Below are 23,373 nucleotides of genomic sequence, written 5' to 3'. Positions count from 1 at the left end.
TGATCTGCCTCTGGTTTTTCAAGAAAAACCTAAGTCCATTTATCTTCCTTGGCCATCCATAAATGAATCTACCAGCACCTACATTATAGGATATAGTTAACTCATTCCTCACCAGCCCTTTCTTTGCATGCTTGGAAAGGTCTTCAACTTAAGATTGTAATAGAGCAGGAAACCTGAGAGCTTCTGATAGAGTCTCAGCTATGTGCCATGACTAAAAGCTTGCTGGTGCTCAAGGTAAGTAGCTTCTTTCAATGGGTCTGAACAAATTATTCCTAAAAGAATAAAACGTCCCTTCCCATCCTCATCCTCCTCTCAGCCACCACTAGATAGACACGGAAGAGGATGCACATCTTTAGCTAAGAATGCAGTACACCCATTGCAGGAGCAGCAAACCTCAAAGACTCTCTTCGTGTAGCTAAAGGAAGAGTCATAAATTAAGTAGATATGGCTCAGCCTTGGGTCTAGTTCTGATTTTTGCCAGTTCCAGAAAAAGCTGTATTTAGAAACAGGAGATTAAAATTAGAGCCTTCTTACATTGCTAGTGGGAATGTAAAATATTGCAGCTATATGGAAAATAGTTTGGCATTTCCTCAAAAAGACAAACATAGAATTAATATATGAACCACCAGTTCCACTCCTACATATATACACAAAAGAACTGAAAACAGGGACGCTGATGCTCATATGCCAATGTTCCTTGCAGCATTATTTACAATAACCAAAGGGTGGAAACAAACCAAATGTCAATCAACAGGCAAATGAATAAACAAAATATAGACTACTCATACAATGGAAAATAATTCAGCAATAAAAAGGAATGACATTCTGATATGTGCTACAACATGGATAAATCATGAAATTACGATGCTTAGTAAAACAAACCAGACACAAAAGGTCAAATATTTTATGATGAAACTTATATAAAATATCTAGAATAGGTGAATTCATATAGACAGAACATAGATTAGAGCTTAACAGAGAATGGAGAAGAGGGAAATTGGGAGTTATCGTTTAGTGGGTACAGAGTTTCTGTCTGGGGTGATGAGTAAACTTTAGACATAGTGGTAATCATTGCACAAGATTGTAAATGTAATTAGTGCCACTGAATTATACACTTAAAATGGTTACATGGCAATTGTTATGTTACAAACACACACATATGTATCTATGACTATAATTTTTTTAAAGTTTAAAAAAGTGATAGTGGAAGAGAATGCATTTGTGACATATAGAGTGGGTTTTCTCAAACCAAACATAAAATATGTTGCAATAAATATATATAAAATAAATTCAACTATGTTAAAATAAAAGGCTTCTGTTACTTAAAACACAACAAGAAAACAGGAGATTAAGAGGAATTAATCACTGCAGAATAATGTGATGTCCTGGAAATAGAGAATGTCTTTTCCTCTTTGTGGGTTCAGGCAGTCTCAATCCTGAAAATGGTTGTTTGTTCTGTGAAGAGTGTATGTGTGCACAGTTAGCTCACCATTTGGACAATCAACAGAAGAATCTGGCATGTGTGGTTCACCCTGTGGTGCTTCCTGAACTCTCTTTAAGCTCCTACAAAGTGTACTCCAGGTTGAATGACCCGGACTTGGAGAATTGTTCTTCTGGGAGGTGTGGCGGATCCCACTGTGAGAAAGAACCTGCAGGAAGGGGCCAAGGCTTCCTGAAAGGTACGTGAAAATTGTCTGTAATTAAGTGGTTGTTGGCCGGGCATGGTGGTTCATGCCTGTCATCCCAGCACTTTCAGAAGCTGAGGCGAGTGGATCACTTGAGCCCAGGAGTTTGAGACCAGCCTGGGCAACATGGCGAAAGCCCATCTCAAAAAAAAAAAAAAAAAAAAAATTAAAAAATAAAGTGGTGGTTAGGAGCACGTGGTTCCAGCGTCAGACTCCCTGACTTCCCACTTCTAAGAGCTATGATAACGAACATATTGTTTAGCTTCTATCTACCTTGGTTTCTTCATCTCTAAGATGAGTATCATGATAGTACCTATCTCACAGGGATTTGGTGAAGATTAAATTACTTAAGGTATGGAAAGCACCTAGAAGTACTTGGCACATAGAAAGCACTTAGTAAATAGCAGTTCTTAATATGAATTATCTATATGTTGGAGGTAAGGGTGACATGAAGGGAAGAAAATCAGGTTAGGACGACGGTGTGCAATGAAGGGAACCCCTGTAAACAGAATTCGTGGGTTATGAACAGCTCTAAATACACTGTTCTACACTAATTTTTCTGAATTATCTGTAACACTTCACTAAGCCTGAAATTACTACACAGTCTAGTATAAGGTAGGGGTGTTATGAAGAATAAAGGATGAAGACAGTAAAGGAAAGTGGGGCCTACCCTGCAGAAACTCTCCCCTTGCCCCAACAGTCTCCTTTCCATGGGGATGGCATCAGAGTTCCAGGAGAGAAGAGAGCAGGGCACATGTTGGGGCCAGGAGCATGCAGAGGCACCCATGAGAGGCACTCACGTACCTAGAAGAAGGCTGTCGTGGTCCCAGATTTGCTGGGGAGCACTGTTGGAAAAGGAAGGGATGGAGAGGGGAGCCCGGGTTACTTGGGAAACATTTTCTTCATACTTCTTCTCTATATCTACCTGCCTAGCCATGTGAGCTCACCAAGCACTTAAGAACAAACCCCAGTCCAGGATGAGTGTTCTGGTCTCCTCCTTCCAATAAAAAGTGATTATTGGCAGCTCTCACTTTAATGCCAGCTCACCAGGAAGTCAGCCCTAGTGAGGGCATGTGAGGACTATAGAAGGATTGGTGGTGTGGATTTCTTTTAAGATATTGCCCTTCACTCTCCTTCTCCACCATTCCCCCGATCCCCATTAGATAAGGGGTTTGTTAGTCAAACCATCAGGTAGAACATTTCAAAGGTCACAAGACAAAAGCAATTACCAGTACATTTTTGTTTCCAATTGCAGATTTATTTCCACACACACAAAAAAATCTATGTTGAAGTTACAGGATTGCCATGAATGCCACACACCTTTCAGACTAAGCAGAAAGCCCACAAGAAAAGCACAAAATGAATGCACTCAGCTGCCCCTGTCCCCCCCACCCTGGTGACTGGGGAAGGACAGGCAGAGCCATCTAACAGGGGAGCTGAGTCTTTGGGAGGATAGGAAAGCCCAGGGTCAAGGGAAAACAACACAGACACTACACAGGGGCTTTCAGTGAGACAGGGATAGATCACGCCGGTGGAAGGAAGGCCCTAGCGTCCCTGTTCTTGCCCAAGAATAGCACACCATTTGTGAGTTTGCCCACTGTGTTCCCAACATCAATGCACAGATACAATTCTACCAGCAAGATCACAGAAACATAGTAAGAGCAAAAGGCAAAGCAGTCTGGGATTATGGGTTGATTTTCAGCCCAAGACACAAAGCCAGCTCAGACTTCTGAATTTTTCCATCCTTGTTCACGTCGCAGTGACGCAGGAGAATCTCGCGGAACTTATCAAGGTCCACCCCGCTGATGCTGGGCTGAGGGCGACAAAAGTAACATGTTAACAGGCAAGCCAATGGTGTTCTCACCCTTTAACACCCTCTCTGATGCTCCCTAAGCTTAGGGTGTCCTGCCTTGAAGGAGACAGGCCACAGGGAGTGAGGGAATGAGTCTATCGCCTCATCCCACCAAATGCTGCCAAGGATAAGTTTTCTGCCAACAGCTTCATTTCTCAGCATGTCCCTTCAGGCCAAAAAACCTTTACTTCCACATCACTTCCCTGCAGTTCTTAGAAAAAGACTGCCTTATTAGCAACCATAGTAAAGATACTTTGCCGCAAAGTAGGCAATTATGATCATAAATTTCTGCCTTGCTGCACTGATGAGAGAAGACACATTTCATTATCTCCTTGTAGGAGATTTTTGTGCCTCTGGTTTAAAAAAAAATGGTTATACTGAATGTAAATTTAAAACATGTGGTTGAGCTAGGGATGTAATATTTACTCCAAGGGATATGTTAGGGGGCAAGAAAGAATGTTAGCTAGAAACGTGACACATGTTAGCTAGGAAAAGTTTTTTACTTCAAGCTCAAAGGCCTGCAAAAGTGAGGAATGCTTTAACAAATTGATTCTCCATAGGTTATTTCATGTAAGCTTCACAATAATGCTGGGAAGTAAATAATTCCACCTCTTTTACAAATTAGGAAACAGAGGTGCAGAGAAAGCTTAAGCTTCCTGCCAAGCTGGAAAGTTGTGGCAGCATTTTTGAGCCCAAGAATAGTCCAACAGTCCTCTGACAATTGGAGACAGTCCTCAATAGTCCTCTGATTCCAATTGAGTGCTCATTGCAAAATTTCATACCATTCTCATGGAGAAAAGGCTGGTCTAATGAAACTACATGTGTGCTGATGCATCTGTGAATAAACGTCAAAATCAAAGAGCCCATCCTTCAAAATGGATCTCACGTGGTTTACTGGCCCAAAATTTTTTTTTTTTTTTTTTTTTGAGACGAAGTCGCAGCCGTCCCTGCTGGAGTGCAGTGGCAGTGATCTCGGCTCACTGCAACTACCGTCTCCCGGGTTCAAGCGATTCTCCCATCTCAGCTTCCCGAGTGGCTGGGCTTACAGTCACCCGCCATCATGCCCGGCTAATTTTTGTATTTTAGTAGAGATAGGGTTTCATCCTGTTGGCCAGGCTGGTCTTAAACTCCTGACCCCTGGTGATCCGCCCACCTTGGCCTCCCAAAGTGCTAGGATTACAGGAGTGAGCCACCGTGCCCGGCCACTGGCCCTAAATTTAAAATAGATCCAAGTGGCCCTTTTTTGACTAGAGATGACAGCTTACTCAAGTACCCTGAAAACCAGCACCTTTTTCTTTTTAGGGCTTTCAGAGCTCACCCGAACCAACCAATCAGAACTCAGTTAAATTAACCAATCAGGACTCAGCTCTATTGACCAATCAGAACTTGGCTCCAATAACCAATCAGAACTAAGCAAGTTTGAATCCTTTATTTGCACAAACAGAACTAACTGGCAACATGGGTGGGCACTGACTTTGTAAAATCCAAACCCCCTTTTGTTCTCTGCACCCTGGTTTACACTGAAAAGTGTGTCCTCCATTTTCCCATTTTCTTTTCTTTTTTTTTTTTTTTTTTTTTGAGACAGAGTTTCAGTCTTGTCACCAAGCTGGAGTGCAGTGGTGCCATCTCAGCTCATTGCAACCTCCGCCTCCCAGGTTCAAGCAACTCTCCAGCCTCACCCTCCCAAGTAGCTGGGATTACAGGTGCCCACCACCACACCCGGCTAATTTTGTATTTTTTCAGTAGAGACAGGGTTTCACCATGTTGGCCAGGCTGATCTCAAACTCCTGACCTGAGATGACACACCTGCCTCGGCCTCCCAAAGTGCTGGGATTAGAGTCCTGAGCCATTGTGCCCAGTCCCGTTTTCAAACTATTAACGGGAATAAAGCCTTTCCACCAAATTCCTTTTCAGAAAACTTCTGTTCACAAATCTAAATTTAAAAGTCAATGTACAGAGAGAAAAACAAAAAACAAATTTAGTCAAATTTCCAAGCCCCTTGATTACTGGAGTAGTTTTATGAGTGAATAGAGAAGGCAGCGACCCGCAGGTTTGATTTCAGGGGCTCTGGGAAGCACTCTCCATTACCCAACCCTGCCCCAAGGTTTTCTTGCTTCCAAAAACAAAATCACTAAAAACATCATCAGTAGGGGAAGAAAAAAAAATTGTTCCTTAACTAGCCAAGCCACGTTAAGACTCGTTAATTTGCACTGTCCAATGGGGTAAATGACTGACACCAAATCTATTATTGATAGCAGGTTTAAAATAGGAGGAAGGAGGAAAGAGCAACAGAAATTGGGAGCCAGATGGCAGAGCAGGAAAAATAAACACCAGAGTAGGCCTGGTATTCAGAGAGATATCAGGAGCTGAAAGTCTGGGACCAGAAGATAAACTTGATCAACTTCACTCTTCTGTGGAGAGTGGCCTGAATGATTAGACTCTGAGGCCACAATGTAACTCGACCTTGTCAATAGGTTCTCTTGTAGTTCTCTGCCAGTACCAGGCAAGTATAGATGTGGCCCAAGGAAATGTGGCTCAGAGGTCCTGAAAACAGCAGGCTGCATTCTGAGACCCCCTGGTGGGAGTTCATTTGTTGTACAGTGCAATGTGGGGATGTTTGCTTTTCAGCATCTTCAGTGACTTGTTGGTAAAACTTTTCTCCACTAAACGGCCCCAGGATCCTTTTGGCAAATCCCATTATTAGAAAATACTCAAGTGGTAGTCATTTACACATTAGTGTGAATTAATTTGCCAATGTATTTACCTCATTCAAACTATTCTAAGTTTGTTTTTGTTTTGTTTTGTTTTGTTTTCTAATTGAAGAATAATGGACTTTGTTTCCCACCATAGTAATTATTTCCTTCAAGTGAGTAGAAAATATTTTTGGTGTATGAATGCATGTGTATTAGGGGATGTGGGAATGAATGTGGATGTATGTAAAGGAAGTTCCTTTGGACCTTTTGAGTTATGTTTTTAATATTGGGCAACTCAATATGAGTCAGGAGACCTAAATGCCACAGCTCAAAAATGCACGTGTCACTGAAGACAAATCACCAGAAACCTTTAGAGCCTCAGTCTTAACAACAGTTTTTATAACAAGTGACTAATATAAGTGCAGATAGGTTCCTGAGGTAAGAGCTCTAAATATATTAACTCTAATCTTCAGAACAACCCTAGGAGGTTGTATCTACTTTCATCATTAATTTATAGATGAGTAAACTAAAGCACAGAGAGGTTAATTAACTTGCCCACTGTCACACAGCTGACACATGTCAGAACCAAGATACAAATCCAGGCAGTCAGGTCCCAAAGTGTATATTTTTTATCACTACACTGTATCATAATCTTTCATGTAAAAATGTAACTTTTTCCTCTTTCATCTCATAGGACAGTGTGAGAGTGGATCTGAAATAAAATTGATTGAAAAATGCTGACCTGTCTCCCTTTAATCTTGGCAATAGGGGGACCTTTGGGGCTGGCCTTCTCTTCCCAATTCTTGCCCATAGTAGGTGCTCAATTATATCTATGAAATTAGTGAATGACTATCCTCAAATGCAGCCTTCCTGTTTTTGTCATACACCTACCCTTTCCTGTACATTCCAATTCTCTTAAAATAATTAAAGTTCATATCCAAGCCTTCTGTTAACCAGCACTTCACAAATCTCTATCCTAGAGTCATCATGACTCCAACACTGGACCATATTCTGACCACTAGAGGAACTGAATTAGAGTTTCACTGATGGTAAGTGCATTTTATTGTAACCCACTTAAAATAATTCTCTACCAATCAAAATATTTAATTAACCAGAACCTTATTCTGTAACCATGCAAAATTACAACATGTTTTCTGTCTCCAGTTTGCTATTTATTGGCCACACTGGTGTTTGAAAACATTGAGGCGACAGGCAGAAGTTAAGACATTATTGCTTAAGATATCTGTCCAGGTCTCTACCAACAAGCCTCTGCTTGTTTACAAATTATCACCTGCCATTGCTTTTTAAAATGAAAATAAGAAATTACATTGGTGTTCCTTTAGGATCACTTTACTAGGCAAATGGAAACGTCTGCTCAGATACTGGGAAGTCTCCTAGAGAGTGGTGTACCCAGCAGTGCTTTAATTTGAGAAGCTCCAGGAAGAACCTCTTCAGTCTTTCAACTTTCTTCCCATCGCTAGTTTCCACCACATTCTTTTATATCTAACAAAAAACATTCTTTTGTTAGATATTCACTCTTTGGGATTACATTTTCTTCTCCTTGCCACCTATCCTCTCTTTTCAAAGTTTTTCATCACCCAAGAGATGGCAGCACGTTAAGTCCCTAACATAATAATGCGAAAACATATAGTATATATACCAGAATGCTATCTTCCGTGATAGACAAAGCTAGGTCAAAATGAAGTCATCAGCAACTTTCTGGGTAGTGAGGGGAAGAAAAGTCAGGTTTGAGGAAAGGACGTTGAAGAAGGAAATGGGAAAGCACACCTGCTCTTTCTTCAGATGTTTGCTAAAACTTGACAATGGATCCCAGGAATTTTAAAGCACACAAACCACTTGATTTAGTAATTTTATTCCCGGGACAAGGCCAAATATAGAGAAAGATCTTTGCACAAGGATATTATTGCATTACTGTTTTGAATCGCAGACATGGGAACCCATCTAAATTATTAGTAATAGGGGAATGTTTAAGTAAATTATGATCTAACCACAGGTGAAATATTATGTGGTTACTGAATGACTGTTAATATTATTCTGTAATAGGCTATATATAGTATACTCTATATTATAAATAATATACTATGATATTGTAATGTCTATTATTCACTATAACCTCAACCATATAAAAACATACATAGGAGAAAAGTCAGTTCACAGTCAGTCTGTTAGAACATAGAGGTTATGCTTCTGTTTTTTCTGGTTTCTGGTTTCTGATTTCTCTATGATGCATGTATCATTTTTACAATTTAAAAGTGAAAAGAGACATTTTTGCTAAGGGCTAGCTCTTTAGAGAGGCACATGTTAGATTCAATTCTTTACTGAATCTATCAATAACAAGAGGTATTGTCCCCTCTTGCCAATCATCTTCCTGACAATAGCAGAGAAAAAGCAAATGGGTTGTCCATCAAGGAAAAGAAAGAACTTTAGGGAGGACTGTGGGCAGGAACTCCCATCACTTCCAGACAGCCAATGTATTTGGCTTCCGATGTTAGTGTTCATATTTCTACCTTCTCTTGGGAGATCTGGAATTTCTTGCCATTCTACTTTCTCATTTAAGCTGTAGATTCTTGTGTTGATTTTTATGCTGCTCTGAGTGAGCTACGGGCTGTTAAAAAGTTTTGTAGGCCAGGCAGAGTGGCTCATGCCTGCAATACCAGCATTTTGGGAGGCCAAGGTGGGCAGATCACTTGAGGTCAGGAATTTGAGACAAGTCTGGCCAACATGGTGAAACACCATCTCTACTAAAAATACAAAAATTAGCTGGGTGTGGTGGCATGCACCTGTGAATCCCAGCTACTCAGGAGGCTGAGGCAGGAGAATCACATGAACCCAGGAGGCGGAGGTTGCAGTGAGCCAATATCACGCCATTGCACTCCAGCCTGGGCAACAGAGTGAGATTCTGTCTCAAAAACAAACAAACAAAAATCTTGTACAGAAATTATTGTGCATATGATTAACAATATTGTATGGTATACTTGGACATTTGCTATGACGGTAAATGTTATGTTAAGTGCCCTTGACATAAAAGAAAACAAAACAAAATAAAAAGACAAAAAAAGGTGGAGGGGGGTGGCTAGAGAAATGTTTGCAGGTGATGGATAAGTTTATGTCATTGATCATGATGATGGTTTCATGGATGTATACTTACCTCCAAATGCATCAAATTGTATATGTTAAGTATATACAGTGCTTTTTTAAGTGTCAATCATATCTCAATACATTTGTTGGAAAAAAAGAAATCATGTTTATTCCTCAAAGACCTGTAATCTTATCAGATTGACAGAGGAAAGACTTGGGTGTCATTTTTCAGAGCTTGGGGAATGGGGTGTTTTGATAACCAAATAATCTTGTCCATGTAAAGTCAACATATACATCATATGATTGTCCAAGAATTAAAAAACTATAAGATAAGCTTACTTCAGAGTTATTACTGCAAACACCAAAAACCCTGACCCAGACTTTGTAACTGGGCCAGCTTCCTGCTGATCCCATGGTATATGCTCTCTGACAGTTTCTTTTAAAATAAATTCCAAATACTGATTTGTTTACTTCTCCCATGGCCCTTTTTTATAAAATGAAAATAAAGAGAAAAGTCACAGGAAAGACTCTGTTTATAAAGCCAAGAAATATGAAATTCAACTACTGGCCATCCTTTGACTACAGCATACAAATTATATGGCGAGTATTTTTAAAGAAACCTAGAAGACTAAGGAAGATCCATTAAAGACTAGGAAAGGCACAGTAAACGTATGCACCTTCAATTTTCGGAGGAGAACATTAATAATGAACTACTGTGTACATATGTTTTAGCTCAACAAATCATCTGGAGAATCCCAATAAATTCCTTTTGAATTACTGACCACAGTCTGACTTGGTCTCTAGGAACTAGCTCTGTCTCAAATTGGCTGGTGCTTACACTGAGAGGTGCCTTTGTGCTGCCCCAGCAGCTCCACAGAAACAGAGAGGCTAAAAGGGGCGAGGATCTTCACCTTCCCATAGAAGTGATATAAATCCATTGAAGAACGAGGCTGATCTCTGCTTCCAACTAATTTTTTGCATGGTCTAGTATTTTTCCCATCTCTTTCATTTTCTCTGGAAAAAATGTCTTGTCTGCTATGTTGTTGGTTTGGATTTTACTTCTATCTCTCCTACTGGCCTTTGGAAACCATTGCCAAACTCAATGACAATTGAAAGGCAGAGTTATTGAAGATTATTAAGATTATCCAGATTCAAAAATCATGACTTTTTAAGAAGGGATCCAGCAAAATTACTGGTTATAGATATCTGGGCTTTCTCTTACAAAAATCATATGGAAATAGCAATGATCATAGTCACTAAAGTTATGAGAGCTATATCACTTTCCAGATCAATATGTGATATAGCTAGTATTTTTTGAGTTTTTAGTAATAATTTATTACCATGGTATTAATTAGTGAAGTAGCACAATATTAATTGCCTTATACAGATTTTCCTCCTGTAATCTTCATGACAACTTTATGGAAGTAGGATCTATGACAATTTCCATCTTCCAGATGAGGAAACTGAGGTTTGGAGATGCAAAATGACTTGCCCAAGGTCTCATTGGCAGGGAGTGGTAAAATCAGACCTGGAACCCCAGGGGGTCAGCCTAGAATCCGAATTCTTAGCTCGAATTCTCATCAGCTTCTTAACTTTTACTTGCCTTTATTTTCAACATTTTTCTATAGTATGCAGAGAGAATTTTATAATCAGAAAGGAAGCAAAAATTTTCAAGCTATGCATTCTAAAATATGTTAGTTAATTGCCATCTGACATAATCATACCTATCTTTTAGATGTTTTCTTTTGCACTGGCTTTTTTTACATTATTGTTTTAGACAGGATTATCCAATAGAATGGCATAGCCATGCATTGAGCAGATGATTCCTTTTATGAAATTCTCTTTCAAATGCTAACTATTCTCAGAAATGTACTCCAAAGATTACAGCAGCTTTGTTCCTTTTTTTTTTTTTTTTTTTTTTTTTGAGACGGAGTCTCGCTCTGTTGCCCAGGCTGGAGTGCAGTGGCCCAATCTCAGCTCACTGCAAGCTCTGCCTCCCAGGTTCACACCATTCTCCTGCCTAAGCCTCCTGAGTAGCTGGGACTACAGGCGCCCACCACCACGCCCAGCTAATTTTTTTGTATTTTTAGTAGAGATGGGGTTTCACCGCGTTAGCCAGGATGGTCTCGATCTCCTGACCTCGTGATCCACCTGCCTCTGCCTCCCAAAGTGCTAGGATTACAGGCATGAGCCACCGCGCCCGGCCGCTTTGTTCTAATAAAATAATAAAGACTATTATTTTTGGAAATCATTTGATATCCCAGGGACTATGATCAATGTTTATGTTATTTCTAGTCAGCACAAAACCCTGGGAAGTAAATATTGTTGTGCCCATATAATGGATGAGAAGACAAGTATCAGAGAGATTGAGTAACTTGCCCACACACATACAGTTCATAAATGGCTGATCTGGAATTAAAGCTCAGATCTGTCACAGGCCAAAGCACTGTCTCCCATTTTACACGGCCTCATCTACAAAAAAAAATTCCAATCAGTTCTTTTCATAGTGAGGGAAAAGAGAAAGAAGGGAAGAGAATCAAAATGAGGTTACCAAAGAGGAGGAGCAGCAGCCACCCCCAACCAAGGCAGCCCCTCTGGAAACCACCCCTTCAAATTCTGTAAATCGGATGTATTCTGATTCAAGCAGAGCTTAATCCCTCAGCCCAGCCCAGCTGCCTCCCACAGCCTGGCGAAGACGTGGGATGCCACAAGACTGTTGTCAGCAACAAATGACACCTCTGACCTGAGAAAAAATTGTTTCCCACAAGTTTGAGAGTAAAGAAAAGGGGGAGCAAAGAAGAAGGGAGGTTGATTTGGTTAATGACTGACTGCTCACTGTGACTCTGCATCCACACTCACAGCTGGGCTGTATGTGTGGGACATGGAAGAGAAGAAGGCCAAAACCTCTCTGGGGGGTGGTGGGGTAGAGTGCTGTAAGGTTCCAAAGCCCCCAGGCTCTACACTCAGGCAGTCACTGCCCCTGGCTCCAATGCATAAGAGGCCAGGCAGCTCTCAAAAACAGACTGACTGTCCCATTCATTCTCTCAAAAGCAAATTAAAACTCTAATTTAGCAAATGCTGCCATGCAACTTTAATATCCCATAGATAATTGCTCAGTTTCTATTACAGAAGCCATTCTGACATTAAATAGATAATGAGTGAAATGGGATTTTCCTCTAGCAATCAATAGAAAAAGCAATACCACACCAATACTCATCAGTTATTCTGGCTGTGCAAATGCCCGTGAAATCTCCAACAGGAGCAACAAGTGAATGAGGAAAAGAGGAGACAAGGGACCCACTGGGATGAGAATAACAAAAGAAAGGAATCACGGACGATGTCTCATCAGGCTGATTAGATGTCAGAAAGGGTTTTATCCATGCCTGCTCTATTGCAGTACACAAACTTCCTGGAGATTCATGCAAAAATTGATATTTGCACATTTTTCAGCTGCAAGGTTCCATAGTGTTAATCTGATTTTCAAAGAAGTCTGGAACTCCACACACAGTTCATAATTGCTACTCTAATTTTTTGCCATCTGGCCCAACCAGAACACAATCATTGTGTTCTGAACAAACCTCAAAAAATCCCTAGGGATACAAGACTACTAAATTCATTGTCGACACAATCCCATGGAAAAGGAAGAATAGGAAATGATCTGCTTAACTGGATCATGTAGCTGGTCAATACAGTTCAACAGGACCTCGAAGAAGGTTTTTTAAACCTTGTCTATCCTACATAAAACAGCTGTGTGATGTAAATATAATCTAAATTTCATCCGCCCCAACCTCAGCAATGTCTTAACCGATAAATAACCATCTTAGGCTAGGTATTAGAGAAGCCTCTTAGTTAAAAAAAAAATAGAATTCTGAAGATAAGTTTTATTACGTGAAATTCAATTAAATGTTTTAGTTATTCTAATAACCAAGTCTGAGGGGAAGAGGGACTTTCTGTAACCAAAAAATAGAACAGAAAGATATTCAGTGGCACTGTGCTCCTTTGGTAAAATAGATGGCCTTTAAATGATGGTAAAAACATACTTGTATGATAGCTTCATGTAATTTAAACTACAATCTTAAGAAAGCGAGGGAGGTTTGTTGGGTTTCATAGCAATTCAAAGGTTATTAAATAAACTACATCCCTAGATTTTATCTTTGACATTAACCTTCAGTCTCACTGATTCCCACAAATAAACAATGGAATAAATCAAAACAACAACCCCACTTCATAATAAGAAGAACGTGCACTCACCTGGACAAGCTCCATCATGTCTTTGACAAACCCATCCACTTCTGGGCCTTCCAGGGCTCCTGTTTTACTCTGAAAAAGAAAAGATCCAATTGCCCAAATATCAGTTTCTTAAGCCAAAAAGCAAGGCAATAACTTAGGTAAATAAACCGTATCAGTATTCTTGTGTGGCCGCAAATAGATTTAGAAGTGGCATGTTCCAATTTATGTTCTCCATGCAGGACATGAATGTTCCACATGAATTAAAATAACTCATTGAAAACAGCTCCATGTAACCAAATGAGAAGTCATACTTTTGAGTTCCTCGGCTTTTGCAGATTGCAGTCGTATGACATATATTGCCTTCATTTGCTTCCCAGGTCCCAGGCTTCAGTTCAGATAAGTGTTAATTGTACCTAATATTAATCCTTTGAGGTATAGATTGAAATTTTTTATTTTGCCCTATAATTTGGCAATGATATGTTGATTATTAAAATATTTATTTTAAATCCAGGGAGACTACATTGAATGAACATGTTAGAATTATCATTTGGTCTGTACATGAGACCCTTTATTTTTTTCTAACCATTTTATAACACATGCAAATATGAACATCTATAAAATACAATACATATTAAAATATTTGTTTCTTCTCTAAAGTTCCACTATAATAATTCATCTACTCTCTTTGTGATTTCTTAATCCTGAGCCTTTAACATATCATTTTAAAAATTCCATTCCCTTAGTGTATTTACCAAACACTTATATAGTACTTGTCAGGCACTCTCATAAAAGCTTTATAAACCTGAATTCATTTAATTCTCATAACATCCCCAGAAGGTAGATATTATTATCCTTATCACCCTAATTTTACAAATAAGAAAAACAAAGCACAGGGAGGCTAAGGAACCTGCCCAAGGCCACATAGGTAATAAGCCATGATTCAAACCTAGGTAATTGGTCACAGAAGCCACGTGTTTAACCACCTCTATGCTAGACTGCCTCTCCCAGGTGATACTGTTTTCTGCTCAGAACATGACACATAATTATCTAGTCTGATTAGTTTCAGGGAAACATCCTTATAACCTTTCCCAACATTTTTTCTGCTTTTCTACTTTTCTTCCTTCTTACATCATACTATCATGTCCTTAGGAAATTCAATCTCTTTGCCATACTTTGTACTTATAATTTTTATATTCTCCCCTTTTCATCAAATAATTGGTTCTACAAGAAAAAATAGTTTTTATGATAAATAGGTATGACTTTTCCTCTATTTCTTTGGGTTGAATATTGGGTGGGAGGGTTGTATGTTTTTGTGTATGATATTATAAATGAACTCTTAGTCCTACAAGAGGGAGAAAACTTATAGTTTAGGCCCAAGGAGTCAAAAAAAAAAGTCATTTTTTTCTCTTCTCAACCATGTGTACTCCTTTGGCTACTTTTACTTTATTCTCAGAAGGTCTAGAGGAGTTGAGAGTACCTTGACCTAGAACACACAGATGGGATTGGTATTCATCATGTAAGTTTAGGGTCTGTTGGGTAAGATGGCTCCACATAGGGGTTAAATAAGTTTCCTACTCAGAGATGGCCAGCACAGTATAAAGACGCACACTTACAACATCATAGTAGGCAAAGATTTTCTCAAAGTCCCTTTTCCTTTCTTCAGTAGAACAAGCCTGTGTAAGGAAAAAACATTATGTCAGTCCAGCAATGTGACAATTCAGCTGTACAATTCTTCCAGAGTCCTGGGCAAATTTTGTAAACTTTGAGTCAATGACCTTTAAGATCCCTTGATTCCATGCTGATCCTTGTCTGTTTTCTAAATAAGTTAAAAAGTAGGGCAAATAGATGCCTTCCTTTCTTCTTTCCTGCTCAAATCCGTAGAGAAACAGCAATGACATAAACCCATCTAGAGAAATGTCACTACTTACATCCATTTTAAATTGGAGAAGGAAGTTTTCCTGAAGAGCCAGAATCCTAAATAGAAAAAAAAAAAAATCCACGTAAGGATCGTTCAGCTCTCAGTTATACGAAAACTTATAGCCCTGGTGTGTGGAAAGTACAGGCAATTTCCTGCAGAACAGAATAGGTACTTGAAAGACAGAACTTCCTACATCACAGAAACAAAGAAATTAATTGGGAAAAACTCGTAGAGATTAGTAGTCACCATAGACTTTTAAAAGTTCATCTTAGTGGAAAATGGCACAGTATGGGCTTCTGGAAATTCGCTCCTCCATAAAACTGGAAAAAATAGTCAAAATAACTTTCCCAGAGCTCTGGAAAATAATTAAAGTCTTGCAGCAATCTGGGGAGTGTTTATTCTGAAAAAAATCTTTTTTTTTTTTTTGAGACAGAATCTCTCTCTGTCGCCCAGGCTGGAGTGCAGTGGTGCGATCTCGCCTCTCTGCAAGCTCCGCCTCCCAGGTTCACACCATTCTCCTGCCTCAGCCTCCCAAGTAGCTGGGACTACAGGCGCCCGCCACCAGTCCCGGCTAATTTTTTTGTATTTTTAGTAGAGACGGGGTTTCACCGTGTTAGCCAGGATGGTCTCGATCTCCTGACCTCGTGATCCGCCGGGCTCGGCCTCCCAAAGTGCGGGGATTACAGGCGTGAGCCACGGCACCGGGCCTCCAAAACAGCTGAATCTTGGTTAGAACAATGACTGTCGTAGCATTTAACTTGCCCTAACACATACACAGAGCCCGTTAGCAAGAGACTGGGAGACTTACTGGTTCAAGACATTTTAGAAAATCTCTGTCCAATTATGAACTGACCATTGAACTAACCTAGCAGAGACTTCAGTGGACACACCTGACAAAGAATATAGACTTCATAGAATTAGTTCAGAAAAGTCACCAAATAAACAACAAAAGTCATCAATACACCAGAAACATGACCTATAAGAAATACTAAAGGGAGTCCTTCAGGCTGAAATTAAAGGACACTAGACATTAACTTAAATCCACATGAAACAATAAAGAGCACCAGGAGCGGTAAATATATAACCAAATATAAAACACAGCATAAATGTATTTTTTGTGTGTAACTTTTTTGCTTTCTGATTTAAATGACAATTTCATAAAACAATAACTAAAAATCTATGTTGTGGAGCACACAATATATAAAGATAAAATTTTAACAACAGAAAGGAGGAGAAAGGCATTTGAACTATACAGAAGTAAAATTTGGGGTATAATATTGAAATTAAATTGTTATTAATCCACAATTAGATTTGATATAAATTAAGATGTTAATTGTAATCTAGCAGACAACCACTAAGAAAATAACTCAAAAAAAATGCAAAACAAATAATAAGGGAATTAAAATAGTACACTGGAAAATGTCTGTTGAACGTGCAGGAGGCAGTAATGGAAGGACAGAAGAATTTTAAAAAAGCTTAAGACAAAGAGAAACAAATAGCAAATATAAATCCTACCTTCTCAGTAATCACGTTAAATATACACATATTAAATACTCCATTAAAAGCAGAGATTGGCAGAATAGAAAGAAGTAAAACTATCTCTTTATAGATGATACAATATTGTATATAGAAAATCCTAAGGAATCCAACAAAAAACTACTAGAGCTAATACACAAATCCAGCATGTTGGCAGAATACCAGATTAATATAAAAAATTCAATGACATTTCTATACATTAACAATGGGCAGTCCAAAAGTGGAATTCAGAATACTAATCGTTTCATGATAGCATCAAAAAGAATAAAATATTTAATAAATTTAACAAAAGTGGTTTAGTTTGTAGACCGAAAACTACAAAACATTGTTGAAAGAAATTAAAGAGCTAAGTAAATGAAAAGACATCCCATGTTCATACACTGGGAGACTTAATATTTTTAAGGAGACAACACTTCCCAAATTGATCTGCAGATTCAAAACAATCCCCATCAAAATCTGAATTGGTTTTTTTGCAGAAATTGACAATCTGGTCCTAAAATTAATGTGAATATGCAAATGAACCAGGATAGCCAAAACAATCTTGAAAAAGAGGAACAAAGTTTGAGGACTCACATTTTTTATTTCAAAATTTGCCTGCAAATCTACAGAATCAAGATAGTGTGATATTGGCATAAGGACAGATATGTAGATAAATGGAATAGAATTGAGAGTACAGAAATAAACCCATACATATGGCCAGTTTATTTTCAGAAAGGGTGCCAAGACCATTCAGTAAGGAAAAATATTCAAGAAATGGTGTTGGGACAAGTAGATATCTACATGCAAAATAATGAAATTGTGCCCCCACCTTACACTGTATTAAACAATTAACATGAAAAGGATTTACATAAAACAGAAACTTTATAGTTTATATAACTCTTAGAAGGAAACAAACGGGTAAATCTTCATGAGCTTGGATTTTGGCAATGGCTTCCTAGATATGACATCTAAAACACAAACAACCAAAAAAATTAGACAAATTGGACTTCATGAGAATTAAAAACATTTGTGCTTCAAAGGACATCATCAAGAAAATGAAAACACGACTCTCATAATGGAAAAAAGTTTTTGCTGATTATACATCTGATAAGTGTCTAGTGCACAGAATATATACAGGACTCTTATAGTTCAACAACAAAAGGACAAATCGCCCAATTTTTCAACTGGGCAAAGAATCTGAACAGACATTTCTCCAAAGAAGACATACAAATTGCCAATAAAACATAAAAAATGTTCGAAATGCAAATCACAATGACATACTACTTCACACCCACTAGGATGATTATAATTAAAAGAAAGATGCAAACAATAACAAGTGCTGATTAGAATATGGAGAAATTAAAATCCTGATACATTGTTGGTGGGAATGTAAAATGGTGCAGCCACTTTAGAAAACACTTTGGCAGTACCTCAGAAAATTAAATGTAAAATTACGACACGAACCAAAAATTCTGCTCCTTAATATATAACCAAGAGAATCACAAACGTATATTTGTCCCAAAACATGTAGCAACGTTATTCATAATCTCTAAAAAGTGAAAACAACTCAAATGAACATCAGCTGATGAATGGACAAAATGTGGTATGTACATACAAGGGACTATTATTCAGCCATAAAAAGGGATAAAGTTACAACATGAATGAACCTTGAAAACATTACTCCAAGTGAAATAGCCAGATAGGAAAGGCACATATTGTGTGATTCCATTTATATAAAATGCCCAAAATAGGAAAGTCGATAGAAATAGAAAGTAGATTGGTGGTTGCCAGGGCCTTGTGGGAGGAGGAAGAGAGGAGTGACTGCTGATGTGTACTGGGTATCCTTCTGGCATAATGAAATGTTCTAAAATTAGATATTGGTGATGGTTGGACAACCTTATGAATATCTTAAAATCTACCAAATTGTAGATTGGTAGATCTGACTTTAAAAGGGTAAACTTTAAGGTACATAAATTATGTCTCAATTTTAAAATAATCTTGTTTTTGTTTTAGAAAGCAAATATGTCTGCCTCTTTTCTGTATAATTATAATTATAATTATACTTTAATAGAATACAGTCAGTTTCAGTAAATTCAACATTAGATTTATGTTGTATTCATAGTCATGAGGATATATAGAAAAAGTAGAAAAAATGTAATACAACTATGTGGAAAATCTTTGCTCCTCCAAATGCTCAGAGTAGAGGGAATTAATTTGAGCCAATTAGAAGACAGAATATCCTGGAGGTCTGCCAGGAATATTGTTCTTAGTATTTGCAGGCACCAGGCAGCCTAAATCATGTTGCCAGTCACAGCACATATTACTTGGGAGGTGCTTTTATGTAGAGGAATTGAACTGCATTTCACAGCTGAAAGTAGAGAGAGAAAAATCCTATCTGGAAATGTTTTAAGGCCTCTTTGTTGTTGTATTAGTTTCCTAGTGCTGCTGCGACACACTGCCACAAACATAGTGGCTTCAAATAACCATAATCATTTACAGCACTAGAAGCTGAAGTCTGAAATCGATCTCACTGGGCAAAATTCAAGCTGTCGACACGGCCTCATTCCTTCTGGAGGTTCTCGGGGAGAATCCTTTCCCTTGCCTTTTTCAGGTTCTAGAGGCTGCCTACATTCTTTAGCCTCTTCTTCCACTTTAAAGCCAGCAACTAGCATTTTCAAATCTCTCCGTGACTCTGACCTTCTGCCTCCCTCTTCCATATTTAAAGGATCTTTGTTATTATATTGGGCCCAATGTGGATAATCCAGAATAATCTCTATTTTAAAGTCTATTGATTAGCAAACTTAATTAGATCTGCAACTTTAATTCATTCTTGCCATGTAACATAAAATAGTCACCAGTTCTGGATATTAGGATGTGGATATCTTTTTTTTCCTTTCTTTTTTTGAGATAGAATCTTGCTCAGTCACCTAACTAGAGTACTGTGACGCAATCTTGGCTCACTGCAAACTCTGCCTCCTGAGTTCAAGCGATTCTCCTGCCTGAGCCTCTTGAAGAGCTGGAACTACAGGCATGCACCACCACACCCAGCTAATTTTATTTTATTTTATTTTTTGTATTTTTAGTAGACACAGGGTTTCACTATGCTGGCCAGGCTGGCCTCAAACTCTGACCTCAAGTGATGCACCTGCCTCGGCCTCCCACAGTGCTGGGATTACAAGTGTGAGCCACTGCACCCAGCCTAAGACGTGGACATCTTTATTCTGCTTACCACAGTTCACATTTTCAAATTCCGTATCAAACTGGTTTTGAAATACACTTGGCACCCCCTATCTGTGGGTTCTTCAGGGCCAATTGTGGGACTTGAACATCCGAGGATTTGGGTATCTGGTATCCGCGGAGGTTCTGGAACCAATCCCCAGAGGATACTTAGGGAAGACTGTACTATACTAACTGATTTTGCTGCCTTTCATCTCTGTTCAGTGCTACTGTAACTCCATCAATTCACAACTACTCATTGAATCCCCCCAAGTACACAACACTCCACCAAGTGAGAAGTTATTCAAGGGATTAGAGCATAGTCCCTGCCCTACCAGCAGGACCATAGCAAACCCGCCTCTACAGAGTGTTTAGACTCATGCAGAAGGCCCTATTAGTTATCACAGTGATAAAGGGGGCACAACTAGCATTTTGTACATAGGGCTAGGGATATTAGGTTTCTGGCATTGCATGGAAATTTCTGCAGAATGAAGAATTGCCCCATGTCTCACTTGAATTTCAAATGTCCAGGGGGCAATCGTGACTGTAAAAACCCTGCTTTTAATTATTTGTGCTTGGAACTGAATTCTTATTTGCATAAAACTCAAGGTTTGCATAATTTACTACTTACATAAATTTTCCACATGGTATATGAATTGTGTTAAGAGATTAACATACTTTGTCTCATTTGGAACTCTGTCAAGACTTATTATTTCATAAAATCATATCAACAGCACCTGAGTTACCAAAATGTCACAATTGTATCAGTCGGCATCTGAGCTGCCCCATTTATGATAATTCTACCCAGGTGAAAGCATCTGACCACTTCACTATATCTTCACTATGATTGTATGCAAGCACTTATACACTGAAATGTGCATTATTTTATCATTAACTGCTTTCCTTTTATTTCTCCTTTATATGTTACAGTCTGTGCATGATGTTAGTTATTTTAGCATTGTATACATAGGTAGGTCATATTGTGTATGGACTAAGAGGGCAGAGAGCAGCTGCTCTGAGCCCTTTATTACCCCAGCCTCCCAGGGCACACAGGGCTCCTCAACTCTCACTACCTCTGAGACGTGCACAACTGAGTCAGGGCACAGGTGGATAGATGCTTTTGGTGAAGGGAACCATGAGATTGCAAGCTTTTGTTTTCATCTAGATTGTCATCTATTGAATGAATCCTTTGGTGGCTTTGGGATTGGCTCTTTCACATAGCTCTCTGACCTCTACTTGAGAGGAACCCTGCCTCCATTGACCAAGAGAACCAGGTGGGATCCAGGGAGCAGAGGCGAGATGCCTTCTGCCGCAGGCCTGATGGAGAAACACTTTTGTCCCTCTTTGGCTGGTCCCTCAGTGGCTCTTCTATATCAATGTGGACAAAGTTAGAACGAAGGTCCTAAAAAAAGTAGCCAAGGAGGACACACAGGCTGCCTCACAATTCCTATGAGGCACAGATAGAAGGCCATTTAGTGTACTGGGGTCAATATTCTGGCTGTTACTGAGGAGATATTCTTCCCAGTGAGTCCCCTTTCACAGATATCAAAACCTGGCTGAGGTAGCTGCCAAGAAAGGAGATAGCTGGTGTGGGATTTGGTGATTCTGAACTCAGGTTAATGTCCACTAAGAGACGAAACCAACATCTTCTTGTGACTTTGTCGAGTTACCTCCTCATCATTAAAAACTTGCCTCCAGTCCTTGGAATTCCTCTCTCTCAGCTATACCTGCTGCTGCGCTGCAGCCTGTAACTGCTGCCCTGCTTACAATTACCATTGAGCCCTGCCCTGAAGCAGCTGGTATTATGGATGCTCCCCAATAACAGGTATATCTGTGTATTCCAGATCCAATAATTTCAACTCTGACTATTTGCTCAGAATGTCTTTCTCTTTTTTGTAGACAACTCCATGCTGTTTGGGATCAGCCAGACTTGACAAAACATGCTGACACACCAATCACGTGTCACAACACCAGACTCACAGACAACATTTTCATGGACACTGAGCCACTTCTGCTTTTATCCTGTCCTCCTCCACTTCTAGCCTTCAGACACTTGGTGCCTCCCTGAGGATACACCAACACTTCAAGAACACAGAGTGCACCTGGAGTCGGCTGAGTAGTCCTGTGTCCTGAAATAACTGCTCGACGTTCCCAGAGCCAGTAAATGGGATTTGGGACATTTTTGTCATGAAGTCACAATGTGGGACTATAAATGTCTTGCCTTTAAGGGTAGGGTCTTCCCATGACCCATCCATAACATTTGTGAAAATGTTGTGTGTTGTGCGTTTTGGAGAGAAGAATTTTCATTATCTTCACAAAGGGATCTGTTACCCTAAAAGATTTAGAATCACTCAGCTTATTGGTAAGATGTGCCTATTCTTTTAGACTCCAGGTGAGGCTTGATCTCCAGTCTCAAAAGGAAATATATGATGTCATCAGACCCCTAGTAAGGTATTTCTGAATGTATGATATCATTTCCATGTAACTCACCTTGCTAAGTCATTTAGATCCAACCGACCATCTTTATTTCTGTCAAAAATCTTCATCTGAAATGCAGAAGGGAAAATGGTTGTACTTGTAACAGGAACTAATTCTGAACGTTATTAAAGCACTTTTCTATTTTGCTCTTCTGATTACATATTTGCCTAAATTGGCTGAGGAGCCCACTTGCCTGGGGGAAAATTAGTATTTGTCACAGAAGGAATTGCATGTCAGCCTCTCTGTTAGGATGAGTCGTAGTAACCAAATCTCCTAAATCTCAGTGGCTTAACACAACACAGGTTTATTTTTCACAGGGTTAGCTGGCAGCTCTACTTCATGTTGTCTATACTCTGGCGACATGGAGTGACAAAGTAGTGACCATCTGGCACATTCCTGATTGCCATGGCAGAAAGAAAGAATAATAAATAATTTACTGATTAAAATTTTATTGTCCAAAGCAGATCCCTGGCCACAGCTACCTTCAAAGGGACAGAATAATACAATCCTGCCATGTGCTTAAGAGGAAAACTAATTATTTGGAGGATAGCAGCAACGACTACCACAGTCTCTGACAGGCAAAACAGGATTTTTATAAAGATTACAAGCTTGAAATATGGGTACTTGGTTTGAGTCAAGGTTTTCTGAAACTATTTTATTCTAGCCCTCATTTAGCATATCAACCAC

The 23,373-nt window shown here is 39.2% G+C and overlaps 1 protein-coding gene and 1 long non-coding RNA gene across 2 annotated transcripts in view; one reads left to right on the top strand and one right to left on the bottom strand.

Moving 5' to 3' along the window:
- Positions 1–2,921: 2,921 nt before the first annotated feature.
- The window catches only part of SCGN (secretagogin, EF-hand calcium binding protein), a 49,569-nt gene continuing 29,117 nt past the window's right edge, over positions 2,922–23,373 (bottom strand). Inside the window, exons 7-11 of the mRNA NM_006998.4 lie at positions 22,699–22,754; positions 15,488–15,533; positions 15,173–15,232; positions 13,581–13,649; positions 2,922–3,498 (exon numbers count right to left, since the gene is read on the bottom strand). Of these exons, the coding sequence (NP_008929.2) occupies positions 3,370–3,498; positions 13,581–13,649; positions 15,173–15,232; positions 15,488–15,533; positions 22,699–22,754 (360 nt within the window). The 3' untranslated portion in view covers positions 2,922–3,369. The remainder of the gene's footprint in view (positions 3,499–13,580; positions 13,650–15,172; positions 15,233–15,487; positions 15,534–22,698; positions 22,755–23,373) is intronic.
- LOC124901284 (uncharacterized) lies at positions 5,731–22,832 on the top strand. Its single transcript, XR_007059517.1, has 2 exons — positions 5,731–7,279; positions 22,108–22,832. It is a non-coding gene; the product is annotated as an uncharacterized LOC124901284 (long non-coding RNA).

The sequence above is a fragment of the Homo sapiens genome, chromosome 6 (assembly GCF_000001405.40).
Source record: "Homo sapiens chromosome 6, GRCh38.p14 Primary Assembly".
Taxonomy (NCBI): Eukaryota; Metazoa; Chordata; class Mammalia; order Primates; family Hominidae; genus Homo; species Homo sapiens.
The sequence above is the reverse complement of the archived record's forward strand: the minus strand, read 5'-3'. Positions and strand labels throughout refer to the sequence as shown.